This window comes from Homo sapiens, chromosome 7 (genome assembly GCF_000001405.40).
Source record: "Homo sapiens chromosome 7, GRCh38.p14 Primary Assembly".
In the NCBI taxonomy this organism is placed as follows: Eukaryota; Metazoa; Chordata; class Mammalia; order Primates; family Hominidae; genus Homo; species Homo sapiens.
The window spans coordinates 35,372,717-35,392,002 of NC_000007.14; the positions used below are offsets into that span (position 1 = coordinate 35,372,717).

Sequence of the window (19,286 nt, forward strand, 5' to 3'; positions counted from 1 at the left end):
GTCTGACCTTGGCCATCAGCCAGATTAAGTATAGGGTCATGTCATAGCTGGAACTCTCAGAGTATATTCTCCATACAAAACACAAAACCACTTCATGGCCTGTGAAGGATCCTGTCTAATTGCTGGGCCTGCACTAAACTGAGTTATCAATCCTATCCCCACAGGTCCCTACAGGCCCAGTGCTGTAGAAAGAGACAGTGCCAGTCAGGGCTGATTTGCTGGTGTGGCTGCTTTTATGTAGTGAATAATTCCTGTGTTCTTTTTTCTTATTCCACCGACTTTGATTAAAATTCCTTGTGAAAAGATATTCTGTTCCAGGGGATTTTTGTGCCACGAAGAAATGAAGACACCAGAAATTCAAGCCAAAGGCCTGGGGCTTCCTTGGCTCTTCTCCACTCCACCTCGAAGGGCATCTGTTTAGGTCCCAATAAGGAAGGTCTGTCCCTGGAAGATACTGTCTCACAGCACTTTGTATGAACGCAAGAGGCAGCATCTATGGTGGGAAAACACACATGATCAGCCAGTCTCACCAGTTGATTCTGCCTTAATCAACCCCAGCCCATGTCCCCTGTTCACACCTCAGGCAACTTCTGAAGTGGAGAAATGATCTGGAGGAAGTCGAAAAAGATAAGAATGGCAAGGATACAAAATGACCAGTGATCACTACATGATGCTTATTAATGGAAGACCAATTCCTCAGGAATCAGTTATAAAGCACATTTTTTTATCACGATGGATTTTCATGTCTACTTTCTTATATGAGTTTACACAAGTCTGTGAAGAAGGTGACTGTCTTAGCTTTACTGTAGTATAGAACTGTGCTATAACAAAAATACCAGAAACTGGCAGCTTATAAACAGCAGACATTTATTTTTCATAGTTCTGGAGGCTGGGAAGTTCAAGATCAAGGCACTAGCAGATTTGGTGTCTGGTGAAGACCCACTTCTGGTTCAAATAAGGCATCTTCTTGCTGTGCCTTCACTTGGCAGAAGAGACAAGGCAGCTCTCTGGGGCCTCTTTTTATAAAGCCACTAGTCCCATTTATGAGGGCTCCACCCTCATGACCTAATCACTTCCCAAAGGCCCCACCTCCTAATATCATCACATTGGTGATTATATATCACCCTATGAATTTCAGGGGCATACAACATTCAAATCACAACAGTATCCTGATTCTCATCTTAAAGATGAGGAAGCAGAGGTACTGCAAACTTAAATGAGTCACCCAAGTTCAGGCATGGGCGAGCCTAGGATGCAAGGCCAAGTCTATCTGACACCAGATACATGGCTGTATGGGCTCCACCACATTTCATCTTAGTACATAACCTATGTGCATAAGATGGACTGAACCCCTCTTCCTTCTCCTCTGTCTTCACTCCTATGCAGATCTCCAGACCCTTCTACCCATCCTAAAATGGTGGAACTCATGACCCATCAAGAAAGGATCCTCAGGGAGTGGCTCCTTGTGGGTCAGCTTCAAAGTGTCAGGAAAAGAAACTCACTCCTGTTTAGGAGCCCCCTAAATATGCGGAATGTGGTACAAAGAGCCCCAGGCTGGTGATGCCGTTTGGCTGTGTCTCCACCCAAATCTCATCTTGAATTGTAGCTCCCATGATTCCCACATGTTGTGGGAAAGACCCTGTGGGAGATATTTCAATCATGGGGGTGATTTCCCCCATATTTGTCTCATGGTAGTGAATAAGTCTCATGATATCTGATGGTTTTATAAGGGGAAACCCCTTTCACTTGGTTCTCGCTCTCTCTTTGCCTGCTGCCATGTAAGAAGTGCCTTTCGCCTTCAGCCATGATTGTGAGTCCTCCCCAACCACGTGGAACTGTGAGTCCATTAAACCCCTCTCCTTTATAAATTACCCAGTCTCGGTATGTCTTTATCAGCAGCATGAAAACAGACTAATACAGCTGGCCTCCACAGCCCCCCTGTTGCCAGCTCCCGCTGTGATCTTGGGCAAGTGACTTTCTCCTTCTACTCCCAATTCCCTCTTGGCTCCTTGCCAGTTCCAATGCTCCCAGATTCTAATCTCCCACTGTCCAAATCTTGGGAATGGACACTGAAATACATTTCTTGTTACCTACGAATTACGGTTTGCTTTCATTCTCCTCTTCAATCCCAGTCTTCTCTATTTGCTGCACAGAGTTCAGAAATGCATTGTTTCCAATGCAGAAGCTCACGCCAGTGCACTGGGGCTGCTAAAAACACCCCGAGGGCCCACCCCTCCCAGGGCGATGCCAGACCAGAGGATGGAGCCCTGGGTCTCTTCACTTTGCGCCACATTATCACAGAAAGGTGGATTAGAAGTTATCTCCGCTCTGCTTTCTCTCAGAGCTCCTTGGCAACACAGCCACCTCGATATAAATATACACCAGCAACGTGCGCAACCTCATACTCCACGGTGAGGCCTCCAGAGGCCCCAGGGCAGATACCGCCGGGGAGCAAGGACATCAGGAGATCCCCAGGACACAAAGGAGTGCCAGCCTCAACGCTTCAAGGTCAAATATGGCACCCATCAAATAAAACGCCTGTGATCCTGATAATTCTCTGGCACCCTATTCCAAAAGCTGGAGGTCTTTAATCTCTCTGAATAGCCAAATATTTCACAGTTGATGCTTCTTTTGCATTCTTTATAATTAAACAAGGAGCCAAATTTTTAATACCTTTCCTGTCTTTCTCTCCCTGGTGTTGCTAATGTAACACATTCAGGTCAAATCTCTGTTGGTTTTGGTCACTGGCTGTTTCAAGGCCTAAAAGGAAAGAGTGAGATCTTTCAAAGAATGGAGATTAAAATCAAACACAACGAAGGAGCTACTTTTGAATGTAATAATGTGGAACACTTTAAAGTCGAATTAATTAAAGGAAACATAAACCAATGCATTCCTGGCTCCATGTTAACTGCGGCTGTCTAAAAGACCTTGAGATGTTCAAGAGACCAGTGTAAATAAGTTATTTTGGTTAGCACAAGCTCAGGGGCCTGCCACTTTCCTCTCGCTGGTGCTGTCTTTGGTAGAGCCATAGATAGAACCAGCCACAAACTTGATTCGGGCATAAGCAGGAGACACACACATCAGCATAAAGGGGGCTCCAAAAAAGGCCCTCTTGCTTGGAGACACAGGAACCAGACTCCCCAAATGTCTCTCACTTACACAGCAATCCTCCTCAGACTTAGGAGGCTCTGTCAAACATTTTCAAAATTACAGGGAACCTGGAAAGAAAATACAATAAAGAGATCAGAGACCTAAAGTGCCAGACCAAAGAGAAGAACCAGAAAAAGCAAGACGTGTTCATTGTAAATATTTTGAAACTGTATTCTTATCTCAGTTCAGTGCTGTGTACTGCCTTTTCTCTGGTAATTGTAAATATTTAATGTGTTATAGCTCCATCTCCTTACTGATACGGGAAACATGAATAAATCCACATGGACAGGATGTGTGTTTTCCACTTGCAGACTGTCTGAGAGAGTGAGCATCAGGAGGGGCTGCTGTGGACAGTTGCACAGGCTGTGGCCTGTACCAGAGTGCCTGGTGGAGGGGCCTGGAAAAGACACCCCAGCCACCTGGCTCAGAGAGGGACAGAAGAAGGAGTCACTGTTCATTCTGAGCAAAAAGCCCTTTTGTATATTTAGTTAGGCTAGGGGCTATGTGTGTGTGCTTTTTAGAGATTTACATTTTACTAGTGTGAGGGGAACTGAGCAGAGCTCATGGAAAAACTGTTCCTGTTTATTGAAATAAAAATTCCAGAATTTTTTTTCAGTCTCAGTATGATTTTCTCTAAAACTAAAGTACAAAAATGTTTATGCAGTTTCCCCTTTTCAATTCCCTCAGCAGCCGAGGTCCTCTCTTGGGTCCTGATTTTCCTTGCAAACTGACCAAAGGAAGCTTCCAGAAGCAACTGTCCACTACAAGAGGAAGGTGTGGCCATGAGGGAAGACGGAGGCTCCAGAGGTCCTGGCTCTGCAGAGACCGCGGTGCTGCCTCCCAGCCTGCCTGAAACCTGACTTGGTTTGCACCAGCGGGTGCCCAGGCCTCCACAGAGTCTTCGGTTCTCCAGGTTTCCCATGCCGCCATTCTTGATCAGTTTTCATCTCACCTCTGTGGTTTCTACCTCCTGTAGATGCTTCAACTCCGCCACTGAAGCCAATGCTGCCTGCTTCCTCCGGTGACAGCAGCAAAGCAGGCAGCAGTGGCCTTGGAGGCTCTGGCTGGACCCACTGTCATGCATTGTCTTCCACGGTTACTCAGGCACCTTTCCTTTACCTGGAAAATATCTCTGAGCTCAAACATTCAACTCACATCTTGGAGCCATAACAAATAAAGGAAGACGGCTTTGGTAACTCAGTAAAGCTTGGGGCTGCAGTCTTGATGAGGAGGGCAAGTTCCGAGTCCAGATGGCTTGAATTCCAATGCATCTCTGCAGCTTACACACAGCGGGCCCTTGAGCATGGGATCTGCTGGACTCAGTTTCCTCATTTTTAAAGAGAGGGTAGTAACAATAGTTCAAGCCTCATAGGGTTGTCCTGAGAATTAAGGATTAACACTTGTGAAGTTGCTTAGAGTAGTACTTAAAAGATTAAGTGGTCAATTAGCTTAGCTATTATTCGGTTAACTATTATTATGATTATTATTTCCAAATGGCTTGAGAGTCAATGGGTGGTAGAGCCCCAGAAACGTTTATTGCTTTCCAAATGGCCTTCCAAATCTGATGCTCAGTTGCCATGTTAGGGAACTCCTAAGGCACAGTAGGCACGGTAGGCACACACAACACACACATGAAAGTACCAAGCACACAGAGGTATACACACACGTGTACACACGAACTGATCCATGCCGCCATATGCATACACATGTACATACATGCATAACTTCAGGAACAATCTGGGGCAGAATCTCCAATCAAGGTTCCATGGGAGATGACAGACTTTACTTGGCTTAGCTATCATCCAACTGATGCCTGGCCTAGATACCAAGTTGCCACGATACAAACTGTGAGATGTGCCAGTGCCAGGTCTCTACTGGGTCTGCAGAAGGCCAGCTCACAGAGGGGCCCTATGGCTGAATGGTATTTTCTTCAGAGTCCTAGCTTAGGATGCTGCAAAGACCTCTGAGAATGCCAGTCTTTCCCCTCTCTCCCTCCCCCAGAAGAAGTTTCAGGGGATTCTACAGGCTAACATTAAAGTTCACAGGCTGGAGGGTCCCAGCTACTGCTATTATATCAACACATGGGGGCAGGTAGTGATGGCTGCTCCTCCAGAGAGATTACATAGCAATGCCAAAGTTCCCTGGCCTGGTACAGAATGACGGCCCAATAAAGAGTTGCTGAACAAATGACCAAAAAATAACAATAAATCCCAGCTCAGCGACTTATTGGCTAATACCCCTGGGTAAGTCCATACCATTTCTTTACCTTAACTCCCTCCTGCATAAAATGGAGATAATCATAACTACCCACAGGTGTGCTTGGGGACTAGTTGTTAAACCAAACCAGAGACTCGATGCACAATAGTGGCTTTCCTCTCAGAAGTGGCGGGGACCCCAGGGAAGTGCAAACAAGGGACTTTCTCTTTAGGATGAGCATCTGTGGACTTTGCACTTTGCCATGGAGCCAGGAAGAATGATGCCTGAGCAAAAGTCTGTGATGAGGACACTCCCAGTCAGGAAAAGCCATTCCATCCTTGGCCCACTGTGGGGGTGGGGGGGGCACAGTGCTATCTCCCTCTGCAGAAGGCTCAGATGGAGTGTGTGCTGCATTTCACAGCTCAGTCCCCAGCTGGTAAGGCAGGGGCGATCTGCCCAGAGCTCACCCTGAGCGGTGGGAATCTCCTTGGGCTTTTGCCATCTTTATCAGTTTTATGGCCTCTTTTTGTTTTGCTTATTGAATTTGTCTTTCAGGAGAAAGGACTAGGTTTGGGAGCAGAGAAAGCAAGAAGCAAATGTGTTTGGACCCAGGTTCCAACAGCAACTGAGCATACCATAGACCCTCACAGCAGAGAGAGCAGCTCTGCTTATGGAATAAAAGACAGCAAAGCCAAACACAGTCCCTTTGGACCTTAATCAAACAGGCTCATCTGATTAAAATTCTAGGACAGTCTCCCAAAGTCTGATTTTCTAGATGCTCCAAGGTGTTTCCAAATATTTCAATAGCACAAAACGTTGGGATATACTGAGACAGAGTTCAATATATACAAAATTCACTTTGATTCATAATAATAAACACACTCACACATGCTAAGCTATAGGGTTTATTTGGATGCAGGGTCTGTCAGAAAATGATGAGAGTGTGCTGCAACCCCAGAAAGGTGGAAATCATCGCACCAGACAACTATTTTATGTCCCTCTTTGGACTTGAAGGTCATAAATATTCTTCCCACAATTTCCAGCTGTATTTCACAAATGGGATGTAGAGAATTACTCTATGTTCTTTAACCTGTCTTTTTCTGTGGTTTTGAAGATCACTTAATAGTTTTCTTGCATCTTATAACATCTTTATTATGTGAGATGGGGGATTCTTTCTCTCTTTATAGCTTTTTCTCTACTCTCAGCCTCAGCCCCTTCCCATACCTAAAGATGTGTGTCATTAATTCATTTATTTATTCAATGAATGTTCAGTAAGAGTGTATTAGAAGTCATGCTAGGAACTGGGGATGTATACTGAACAAGACAGACATGGTTTTAGCTCTTAAGAAGCTCACAGTCTAGTGAGGAGACAGAAAATATGTCAACTTACATGACTGAGGATGTAATTAAGAGGTGATGCTGTGGTGTGCCACCTGGATCCCCATTTAGCACAGGAGAAATCATTCTGCAGCTGCTGGGAGTTCCGCCAGAACACAGCCTCCACTGGACCCTCTTGGGGACTGCCTCACCTGAAGACAGCTGCCTCATCCAGGGTCATGGCCCCTTCTCAGGGTAGTACACATTCCATGTCATTTCACCCTGTGCCCCACTCTGGATGACTCCGAAGGGCCATCCTAGCTTCTGAGTTCCCACATTCGCAAACCCTTGGCTGCACCTTCCTCTTTCCATTTGACTGTTGACCTGGGAAGCAGCCAGAGTTGTGTTCTCAACCAATGTCCCTTCCTCCACCAACTCTTAGAAAGAAGATAGCAGAAAGCAAAAAAAGAGGACTGGTGATGGCTTATGACATTCTGGAAGGTGACAATCTCCAGAAACAGGGAGAGCTGGGATGATGGTGGCAAGAATCTTGAAGACAATGCATTGATGAAGTTGTGGCTTTTTCATATTCCACTGTTTCAGAGTATTATAGAACCAAATAGGAAAGAATGCCTCCTCAACCAGGCAATAATACATTGGTGAAAACGTGGGAATTACTGGAAACTGGATTTAAAGCTCTGAATATTAATGTAACTTTCAGCCATAGAACTGAGAATAGGAATCAACTATCACCGGTAAATAAAGCCTATAGCCAGGGGCAATCCACATAAGCTATGTGTTGATAACACTAGGCTTAAACTGCATTCACCTTTTTGAAAATGAGTAATGCTTCTGAACAATTTAATGGTACTAGGTATTGGAATTTAAAAGGGAACATATACCAAGAATAATAAAAGAAAAAAATATATATTCTTTATTTAAAAATAAAAAATAAAGGAAAATCAAGGAAGTATGAAAATTAGAAACCACAAAAGAATAAAACAGATTTCAGATTAAAATACATGAATTATAACAACAAATATAAATAGATTACACTTATCTGATAAGAGTTTCATATAGCATGGAGAAATCAATTTCAACCTCAGACACAGACACATAAATACATTAAAATAAAACTTTAATCAAAAGTATAGCATACAATTACCAACAAACAGAAAATGGCAATCCAGGTTTTAATGTGAGGTGTCAAAAATTATCAGTGGATGAGGTACGCAGTCTTTCCCTTCCTCTTTCATCCACTTAGTTTCCTTTCCCTCCACCTTCTGAAGATGGAGATCAGCTTCAAGGACAGAGCTAAGGACAAAAAAGCACTATATTCTACATAGTGGGAATGTGGGGTCAAAGGGTTGGAACTTGGTAAGACATGACATGTCACCACATTATATGAGGCAAGAAGAATAAAGGCTAAAGAAATTGTGGGATATACAGACAACATTATGCAACCTTGAAAAAAGGAAGGAAATTCTTGCAACAACATGGTTGAACCTCGAGGACATTATGCTGAGAAACAAGCTAGTCACAAAATGACAAACACCATATGATTCTATTCATATGAAGTATGGAAATCAGTGAGAATCATAGAAATAGGAAGTAGAAAGGTGGTTACCAAGGGCTGGGGTGATTTAGTATTCAGTAGGTCTGGAGTTTCAGTGTTGCAAGATTAAAAGGTTCTAGAGATCTATTGCGCAACGATGTGAGTGAACTTAACACTACTCAACTGAACACTTAAAAATGTTTAAGAGGCCGGGCGTGGTGGCTCACACCTATAATCCCAACACTTTGGGAGACCAAGGCGGGCAGATCACCTGAGGTCAGGAGTTCCAGACCAGCCTGATCAACATGGAGAAACCCCCGTCTCTACTAGAAATACAAAATTAGCTTGGCGTGGTGGCACATGCCTGTAATCCCAGCTACTCGTGAGGCTGAGGCAGGAGAATCGCTTGAACCTGGGAGGTGGAGGTTGCGGTGAGCCGGGATAAGGCCACTGCACACCAGCCTGGGCAATAAGGGCGAAATTCCGTCTAAAAAAAAAAAAATATTTAAGAAGGTAAATTTTATGTTATTTTTTACCACAATAAAAAAGAAAGAAGAAGGAGAAGAAAAGCAACAAGATAAAAGGAACAGGCCTAACTGACTTTCACAGAATGTTTCACCCAACTGCAGCAGAATACAGATTGTTTTCATCGGCACACAGAACAAACATTCTCCAGAATAGACCACAGCTTAGCATAGCTTAGGGCACAAAATAAGTCTTGATAAATTCAAAAAAGTAGGAATCAGATCAAGTATCTTTTCTGACCACAGTGGAATAAAATTAGAAATCATGCCTGTAATCCCAGCACTTTGGGAGGCTGAGGCAGGCGGATCACCTGAGGTCAGGAGTTTGAGACCAACCTGGCCAACATGGCAAAACCCTGTCTCTACTGAAAATACAAAAAATTGCCAGGTGTGATGGCAGGTGCCTGTAATCCCAGCTACTCGGGAGGCCGAGGCAGGAGAATTGCTTGAACCTGGGAGGCGGAGGTTGCAGTGAGCCGAGATCATGCCACTGCACTCCAGCCTGGGGGACAGAACGAGACTCCGTCTCAAAAAAAAAAAAAAAAAAAGAAAAAAGAAAAAGAAATCAATGACAAGAGGATACTTGTGTTTGAAAAGTATACAAACACATGGAAATAAAATTGTCTGTTGGTGCACACATCACCACTTTAGGATGGCTCAGAGCCTCCCAGTTCACCCCATAGTGTAAGCTGCAGTAACCCTCTGGGGCATCACCAGAATCTTTGTTCTAGAACTTGGAATCTCCCTAGAATCTAATGATTTTGCAGTTGTTAATCATTTGACACTTTGTGATTTCACAATATCTTCTTACATCTCTATTAAATATATGCTTCCTCAAAGTACTCTAGGATATGTTAATTTTTTAATTAAAATTTTTAATTAAAAAAGATAAAAGAAACAGGACAGTGTTGCTGAGAGAGTTCTTTTGAAATAGGAGAATGACTATTTGAGAATTCTAAAAAATAGATTCCAATGTCTCCTTTAAATATTTGAGAGAGAAACAAGTAAAAATTAGAACTGTAAACTTTCTTTTGTAAATGAAACACCAACTAGGAACTAGAATTTCTCAAAGAACCTCATGATTTTCCAAAAATTAAAAAATAAAATCTATAGGCCATGCAGTTGGCCACAATGTAGTAAACCAGAAATTAAAAACAACTATTTAAATTAAATCTCAAACTACTTATTACCCAAAAATTTAAATTAAATCTCAAACTACTTATTACCCAAAAAAAGGGTAAAACTTTTTTTTCTAAAATTCTTCAAAGAGCAAAAAAAATGGTGATACAAATTATTCAAAGTGTAATGTCTGTAAAAATATGCCATATGAAATGTTTGGAATTTGGTCAAAGCTACATGAAAGGAATATTCTTAGCTGAAGTTTTAAAATTATTAACCAAACGATTAAAATAAAACAATAGTGAATTCAAATAATTAAGCTATACAAATTTAAAAATAGAATAAAAGAAAGGAAAATTTAATAAAGATCAAGGCAGAAATTAATAATTTTAGAATAATAAAGTTGAGAAATAATTCTGAGCTGATTATTTGAAAAGACCAACAAATATTTAAAAACCTAATTTTTAAAAAATTAAATAAATAACATTAAAAATGGGAAACATAATATAATTATAGATTTTTCAAATTTTAAGTATACACTTGATCATAATACCTCACAACTGGTTAATGATTTGGAAAGATCAATGCTACATCCTTAGTGATAACAAATTCTAAATTAATTTCAGATAAAGTATAAGAATAAAGCATATGTAAACATTTATATTACCTTACAGTAGAAAATAGTCTATAAATCTGGTATCAAAAGCAGCAACCATAAAGAAAATAATTGATCGACTGCCTCACATTAAAACTTCTATACAGGGGGAAAAACCCTAAAAGGTAAATGACAAATTAAGAAAATATTTCTAATATATGTGATAAAATATTAAAGACTAATATATAAAATATATGACTAAAACAATAAATAGTAAAATTGATAAAATTGTCATCTCAAAAGTCAAATGCAAAAATTTAAAATATTTGAGGCTTTTTAGTTGTAGCAGATATATTCATTCAACATATACCTATTTAAATATATATCATATATATGACATATTTTTTCAGCTATTGAATTGGAAAACATTAAAGAATAACATCACTCTTTAATATAAACTCTCTGGAGTGTAGTGGGGTTATGTATCAAAAAGTCATAAGACGTATACATAATTCTACTAGAATTACACTTCTAGGAATTATCCTAAGGAGATAATCTGAGAAACATGTAAATATTTAGTTACAAAGATGCTTGCCATGTTTTTGTAAAAATGATATCCCCAAATTGGGAACAGAACACTGATTTTTGGCAACAGGAGATTGGTAAACTTAATTATGAATCCTCTATTTGATGGACTGCTATATAATCAATAAAACTTATGTGGTACATCTATATTTGTTAACCTTGAAAGATGCCAACAATATGTTCAGTGAAAACAGCACACTACACTCTAAACAGCAATAACTCATTTTTGAAAAATATGTGTATGTCTACACATGTGTAGACATGTACATATGTATTTTCTTTCAGACATTTCCATTACTGATTGGTGAGATTGGAAGCACTTTGTTTGTCTTTTAAGTTTTCCACCCTGAAATATGATGTGTTATTTTTTATAGGAGAGAAGACAGAAAACATTAAATAAAACCTATTACAACAATTTTTAAAGTATAGGCATTGGCTACAGTAGAGCTACATACTTCTACCATTGTATTCTATCACACATGTTTTACATACATCAATTTACATGTTCCTTTTGTCTCTGTAGCTATAATTCCCTTGAGGACAAGCACTGTTACTATCTTTGTATGCCTAGCACCTCACCTAGTGTTTTATACATTGTGAACATCATTAAATGTTGGTATGTTAACAGGAAAAAAAAATGAAGGCAGGGAGGGAGGAAAGGGGAGAGAAGAAATGAAGGGGAGAAAGAGTGGAAGGGAGGAAGAGGAAAAGAGGGAGGAAGAAAAGGAGGAAGAGAGGAAGAGAGAGAGATGGAGGGATGGAGAAAGAGAAGGAGGGAAGAGAGAAGAAAGAGGAAAAGAGGAAGGAAGAGAGGGAGAGAAAAGAAGAGTAAATAAAGGGAAAAGGAAGAAAGGCAAGGGGGGAAGAAAATTTGGTTATAGGCATCATTTCTGCACAAATACATTTTTATTTCCTGGAATTGAAACCAAAATCCCAACCACAGCTGCCTCCTATGCCCAGTCCACATGTCTGCCATGTTGCTCTGTTTCGGATACCTGGTAATGCTGTCGGATACAACAGTGTTTTAGGGCTCCAGCCAGTAAGATCCTGTCTAAGAAAACATTTTCCCACAAGGTATCCTGCCCTTCGCAGATATTTGCTAACACATCAACAGCTGGAGCACTGCATAACACAGTTTCTCAATCATTAGCAGACATTACCTAATTGATAAGGGCGTCCTTCTAAGCAGCCTGTTCCCAGTTCTGTGTGACACACAATCAAACTCTATTCCCTTTCCCTGTGACATCAACATTCTTGGCTGAGCCATTGGAGGGGAACTCCTTTTCCACCCAAGATAAACTGGAATCTGGGGCTAGAAGCATTCCCCTAGGGTCCCCACAGCCACATTCTCCCACAAACTCCCACCTCCTCAGTCCCCAGAGTGCTTGATTCCAGCCATGTGGCTGCTCCTCAGGCCTTGCTGAGGTTGACGGCGGTGCAGCTGTAGCTCTTCACCAGCTCCCTGTGACAGCGGGAAACAGATTGGAAGCACCAGGCATCTGGTGTCAATGGACGTGCACACATGAACCGCTGAGGCTGGGATCATCTCTCCCTCTCTCTTCTCTTGTGACTCCCCCTACAAAACTGTACATCAACATTGAAATTGTCCATCTGGTCTTTCCTGGCAATAGGCTCCTTGTGATAACATATTTCATTAACAGTGCTTGGAGATGGCCTGTGAACCCAGGAAGCAAAGGACCCTGGCCACTGATGGCCAGCTCAGGCCAAGGTGCGGACAGATGCTCAGGAAGAGCCCAGATGGCAGGAAAGAGCCTGAAATGAGGCTCTAGGCAAGCCCATCTCCTGCCTCGTCCAGTGCCCACTGACCCACCCAATAGGTGTTGAGTTTCCTTGGCATGCCCTGCAAATATGATTGCAAAGGAAATTTTTGCTACCAAATTGGTCCCTACCCCTGAGATTAGAGGAAAGACACATAATCAGTAGGCGAGAGTACACAGAAGTTTGTTGTCTGTGAGCCTTTTTCTTAATAAATGAAAGGTTGATTTATCTTATCTTTGTCTTACAGCATAATGGGGAATTTGGACAAATAGACCCAGCTTCAAACACTGGCTCTGCCCCTGCTGGCTTTATAACTTTGGGCAAATTTGTCTCTCTCAGCTTCTATTTTCTCATGTGGCCTTTGTGAGGATATAATAAGAAAACCTACATAAATCCCCAGTCTGGAGTAGGTTCTTGGTAAGTGCAAGCTTTTTAAAAAAATCAATGTGCATGAAGATGTATAGATATATACGTCTAGATGGCCAGTTTTCCCCCTTCGTTGGCATTACCTTCCCATTCCGTGTGGTTATTAGCAGAGCTGTCTGAAATCCAAAGCAATGCAAACGGCGCCCAGTGTCATCTCATCCAGCAATAGGCCTCTCACAGGTGAGGAGCTTGAGGCCTATAGAGGGACAGTGAGGGTACAACTGGATGCTCAGGGTCTTGGCCCCAAGCCTCATCATTTGCTATGTATGTCTGGCTGCACCCCATGTTGGTGGAGTTGGGTAACTGGGCATGGACCTGCTCTCAGCTCTCCTCCATGAGGGGGACGCCACAGTGTCAAATCGGCCCCCATCCTGCCTAGGCTGTAGAGCATTCACACTTGGCCTCTTGAGGGTTCAAAAAAATTTCTCCATATTTCCCTAGTTTCCTGTTCTCATCAAAGTTTGGCCTCCACTAGAGTGTTGAGCCTAAGATTTTTGCTAAAATAGCCCTCTGTGGAAAGACGCCATGGGTCTGAAAGAAGCCCCCATGCCCTTTGACTTGTAGCTGAGTGGCTGCACACTGGCAGGCTTTGGGTCCTGGCTGGTGAATGGGTTCAACAGCCATATTCCATACCTTCACCACTACGGGGCCTGGTCACTGGGTGGGGTCAGGGGCCACCTCCATCACCGTTAGTGGCCAAGGGAGACCATGCTGGTTTCTGACCCCCCACCATCCCCCACCCCCTGTAAAGTGCAGAGGGTACCTGGGCTGGTCTGCCTTGTTTCAGTTTTTCCGTCTGACCCTGCAGGGTCTCCTAATCCTGGGAGGCCTTTGGCATTCACCCTCCTCCCTCAGGAGTACTGTCTCTTTCCTTCTAGGTGGGAAGGAATGATTGTAAGGACCTCTTCCAGTTCCAACCTCATGGGATTCTTGTGGTGCTGATCTCCAGGTCCCTCCTTGTTTTGCAAGACGCTGCCCTAGGCCTCTCTCCAGCCCCAGTTACAACCGGAGCAGAGAGCATGGGGCCCCTTCTCACTATCCATTCCTGCTCCACTTAAGAATCTGCATCTCCAGAGAGAAGGACGCTGTGCAGAGCTCCACCTCCAGTCACCTGAGCACATGGGCGCAAATGACGTGACTTTTCTCTGTCATGAGAATCCATCGGAGACTGAACTAAGTAAACTTTTATTTCCATATCTCATTCTCTTGAAGAGAACACAGTCATAACTCCACAGAGAATAAACATACGCAGTCTAATCTTTCTCCTTGCTGGGACAGTTTGTTGAAATTGGTGAAATGATGCAGGCCCCGCTGAAATGGCTTGATAAGCGTTGTAAGTCCCGTTTTGTGATTATTAAATAGGGAGGGTAATCCTGCTGCTTCTGGTCATTTTTTTAAAAACCCTCTCTCTTACCTGAATCTAACTTCTTCTCATGTTGCACTGTGGCTTATACACATGTTGAGCTCATGTGTCTACCAACGTGTGTGCATATGTGCAAATTGGACTTCTTTCCTTTGGGAGGGTGTCTGTGCCTCTAGAGAGAAAGAAAATTCCACCCTCATTTTATGATTCCCTCACTGGGTTGTTAGTGACATCATGAAAGAGAAATCAAAGTTTGAGTGATTCATACTGCACAAGAATTAAGCTGAAGTGAAAATAGTTTATGCATTTTTCAATACACAAAGATTTCTTTTCTTAAAGCAGCAGTCAGCAAACTACAGACTGCCGGCCAAATCTGGCCCATAGCCTGTATTCGTATGACCTGTGTGAGCTACAAATTTACATTCCCATTTTTAAATGGTTGCAAAAATCAAAGGAAGAATATTTCCCAACACAGGAAAATTACATGGGATTCAAATTTCAGTGTTCATAAATAAAGTTTTATTGGAACACAGCCTTCCTCATTCATTTATTCATCATCGGTGACTGTTTTTCATGCTACAAAGGTGGGGTTGAGCCTGTAAGCAAAAAATGTCTACTACCTGGACCTTTACGGGAAATGTTTGTTGATTTTCATAAATCTTTCTTTTTTTTACAAATCTATTTTTTCGTACGGTTTCATAGATGGAGGAACTGGAAATCCGAGAGGAAATGGGATTTAAAGAATGTTCTCAACATGACTGAATCCAAAGAGAAGCAGATATTTACCCCCATGAGGTGCAGATCCCTTCCAATTCCTCTGCTGTGCGCTGCCCATCAGAAGATATCCCAGGCTTACGGAAGAGCTGTTGAAATGTCCATTAAGAAAAATTGATTCTGAAGTGTGACATCATGTCCTTGAAGACACACGATATCATGACAGGACATGATATAATGTCCTGTGCAAATAGAAATTGCATTGTCAGAGACCCGATTGCTTCAGGAGGAAAGATACGGCTATAAAAATAAAATCATAATTTATGAAACTGATGCTTGTGGTAGGAATGTTCAGCGTTGAGTGCTCCTCCTTACCATGAACCCCAAATTTTGTGTTAGATCCTACGTGACCAGTTGCTTACCTCCTTTCTCTTTTATTGACAAAATCTCATAAGGACTGAGTTTTCCATGCTTATTTAATTTTTTTTTTTTTTTTATTTTTCGGCTTCTGCCTTCACGCAATAATATTGGTCAGGAAGGTTACTTTCAAATTCAACTTCTTACATACCATTGAAGTAGCATCAGGTGAGAATTCTTAGATCTTCTTTTTATTAAAAAAGAAACTATTTCTAATAAAAACACTGTGGGATTATTCATTTCAGTGTAGCAGGAAGTTTCAGAGAAAATAATGTGCATATATTTTCTATGTGCCAGAGTATAAGAGGCCTAAGAAAAGTCAGGAAGATAAGTAGTTTGCCCATTTCATTTCCTGGGGTGAAATGTAAAAATTCTGTTATGGCTCATAAATGACACTTGCCCCAGACCCGAGTTATGTGCTCTGTTTCCACAGACGTGGTGGCCTAATATTGACACCAAGTGTCTTTTTTCAGCTCAGGATCAGCCTAAAGAAAACGGAGATATGAAACTTGACCACCTTTAGAGACACACAGGTGCCTCCGCTTTGACCGACAGGGTGGCAACACAAGGACGATGGGGTCACCACAGAAAGGTGGAGCTGGGAGCACTGGGCGCTTCCATCTCTGAGAGTCACCAGGAAGTGAGTGGGCGAGTGAGGGGTCCATCTAGCAAGCACTGGGGGCAGTATGCCCTGAGTCCCCTTACCTTGTCTCAGCCACACACTCCAAGAACATCACCTCCTCCTCCCACCATCCAGCATACCTCATGTCTAAATAATACATATTCATATTGAGGAGTCAAAAGGATGGCTGGGCAAGGTAGCTCACACCTGTAATCCGAGCACTTTGGGAAGCATATCACTTGAGGTCAGGAGTTCGAGACCACCCTGGCCAACGTGGTGAAACTCCATCTCTACTAAAAATACAAAAATTAGATGGGCATGGCGGCTGGCACCTCTAATCCTAGCTATTCGGGAGTCTGAGGCAGGAGAATAGCTTCAACCAGGGAGGTGGAGGTTGCAGTGAGGCGAGATCATGCCATTGTACTCCAGCCTGGGTGACAAGAGTGAAATTCTGTCTCAAAAAAAGAAGAAGAAGAAGAATCAAAAGGAGATTCTGCTATTTATTGAGTGCCTTCTCTGTGTCAACCATGGCACTGGCGATTCCCTGGGACTTTATCTTATTTAATTCTCACAACATCCCAGAGGGATGGTCATCATTACCCATGTTTTTTAGATGAGGAAACTGTGCCCCAGCAAAGTTAATTATTTTGCCCCAAACTACACAGTTGGAAACCCTGGGAAAACAAGTCTATCCAGGTTGACTGTTCTTTCGCCACACCCCTCACTGTTTCTCTAATAAAATGAATCAGACTGAGACAGCATTAGGGTGATTTAGGGTTCACGCAAGAAGGAATTCCCCAAGAGCCAATGATGTTGCACATTGGAAAATAAGGAGGGGCCTTGTGGGGTGACCTCAGGCGGATCTCAGATGACCTGTCCTGCTTGTCTGTGGTGGATGGCAATTGTGGAGTTGGATGATAATTTCTAGAAGTTAATATTTTAAAATCTATAAAGTTCTGAACCAAGTTATGACCGAATTAAGAATTTCTAGGCTTCTCCATCTCATTGGCCATGACCCCCAAGGAATTTAATGTGCTAAGAAGTTGAGTCGGCCATCACAGTGGACCCCACTTGCCTGGACCTGGAGGCTCAGCAAGGGAACTCAGACAGAGGCTGAGCCACTGAACCCTGCTCGACTATGACACTTCACACTTTTGCTTTCTCTCCTCTCTGATGTTAATGGCTCATCTCCCCCAAGGTTCTCTTTTCACCTTTTAACCATGTGTCTGTCACCTCGGCTTGTTAATGGCTTTCGGGCAACCTGAGGCACAGCACAGCGCTGCTGCTCCACAGAGACTCCCGCCAGCCTTTCTCCTTGGTTAGGGGTTGCTTACAACTTGTAAATCAGCACATTAGTCACAGTTAAATGTTTCCTGAAGAACTTTCCAAACAACCTGGGAGTTTGGATTAGAACCTGGGACAGTGACAGGTGCTTTCAGGACACAAACCACCTTGTGAGCCAATCCATGGCAACATCTGAGGATGACACACTGCAAGGCCAGGCCGCTCAGCACCTAGAGCGCCTGAAGAGGACACATTCATCAGGAAGAAAATAGGATTAAAATAAAAGGAATTGCTACTGCCAGAACTTCCCTCAGGAGTCCTGGTTGAGTCCCCACTCTTTAACTTAAAGCCTCAAATATCAGTTTGAGGAAATATCAGCTTGTTTGGAAACTCATCTGTTCTAGCTTTGGATTTATGAACAGGGCATTTTTTTTTTTTTTTTTTTTTTTTTGCTTTTGAGAACATGGATGGCTGTGTCTTCACAGAACAGAGACCGCCACACCCTCTTGCGCTGTGGGGACTGAAGGAGCCGGGGGGAGTCCTGACTCCTCATGCCATTCTGGAGAGCCACACAGACTTTGGTGTTTGCGAGGTGATTTTCTCAGGCCTTGGGGCCTAGGACCTAGCGTTATCTAGCCCAACAATTAGAGACATTCAAAACGGGACTGGGCTACCTTTTGAGGTACTGAGTTTCTTGTCACTGGAAGGGTGTGGCAGAGACGGCAGAGATTCTAAAGAGGGAGTTTCTGCACCAGGTGAGCAACCCAATTCCACACACATTTGCCAAGGAGCCACTGTAGGGAGTAGGAAGGTGATATGGTTGCTGCAGGCCACCTGTGCAGTCATGTGCTGGGTTTGTTCTAATGCCTCAGGTTAAAAACAAAGACATAGTAAACCCCTCCATGTAGGATTGGACTAGATGTCATGCCCATATGCTGCAGTTCTTGGGTAATGCTGCAGCAAGATCACTGCCTCACTCATGCACTGCCCACCTCATTTGTGAAAAATCAAAACAATCTGGTTCTGCAGGAAGGAAGCTGCAGTCAAAAAGGAAAGGGTCTGTGCAAAGCTGTGACAGGAGAACAATCAGCTATAGCGCTGGGCTGCCCCCTCATTGACTTTTTGGAGATGACAGAACTTTCTCTCCAGTTGTTTTTTTTTTTTTTTAACAAAATTAATTCCTGATTCATAGTACCAATATTCTACTGACGTGTATTTCAACATAGATATGCATGTAATAGATGCTCAGTAAACACCATGGAGTGAATGACATAGATTTCTCTCTAAGCTATAGGAATTACTGACACAACAGATCTGAGACCTTTGGAGGAGGAGTAATCATATGGCTTTTAACTTCTCAGAAAGGTGGGTCCCGAAATACACTGCTATGAAAAGAAAGTCTACTGCCCTGGATGGCAGGATCAGCAGTTCTGCTGATATTAGACTAACAGAAAGTTTGGGTCCACCTGCTATATTTTGATTTACTTATAACCATCATTCAAACTAAGACACCTTTGAGAGTGAAAGGGGATTCTATTAATAATGACACTGAGGTGACAGGTAAATAGGCATTGTCCCTGAGAGGTGGAATATTCAGCTATCTGTCTCAGAACCCATGTAATCCGAGGCTGTCACACATT

The 19,286-nt window shown here is 42.6% G+C and overlaps 2 long non-coding RNA genes across 2 annotated transcripts in view, besides 2 other annotated features; both read left to right on the plus strand.

Moving 5' to 3' along the window:
* LOC401324 (uncharacterized) overlaps nucleotides 1-3,760 on the plus strand; it is a 62,622-nt gene extending 58,862 nt beyond the window's left edge. The window contains exon 3 of the long non-coding RNA NR_038864.1: nucleotides 319-3,760. This is a non-coding gene — a long non-coding RNA (uncharacterized LOC401324). The remainder of the gene's footprint in view (nucleotides 1-318) is intronic.
* Nucleotides 399-4,023: an enhancer, noted in NCBI's record as "VISTA enhancer hs1659". NCBI's record gives its function as "enhancer in: heart[9/9]" and the evidence as "EXISTENCE:transgenic organism evidence [ECO:0001131][PMID:17130149]".
* Nucleotides 11,986-14,999: an enhancer, noted in NCBI's record as "VISTA enhancer hs2286". NCBI's record gives its function as "enhancer in: other[3/5]" and the evidence as "EXISTENCE:transgenic organism evidence [ECO:0001131][PMID:17130149]".
* LOC105375230 (uncharacterized) lies at nucleotides 12,332-14,579 on the plus strand. Its single transcript, XR_927168.3, has 3 exons — nucleotides 12,332-12,770; nucleotides 13,068-13,237; nucleotides 14,125-14,579. It is a non-coding gene; the product is annotated as an uncharacterized LOC105375230 (long non-coding RNA).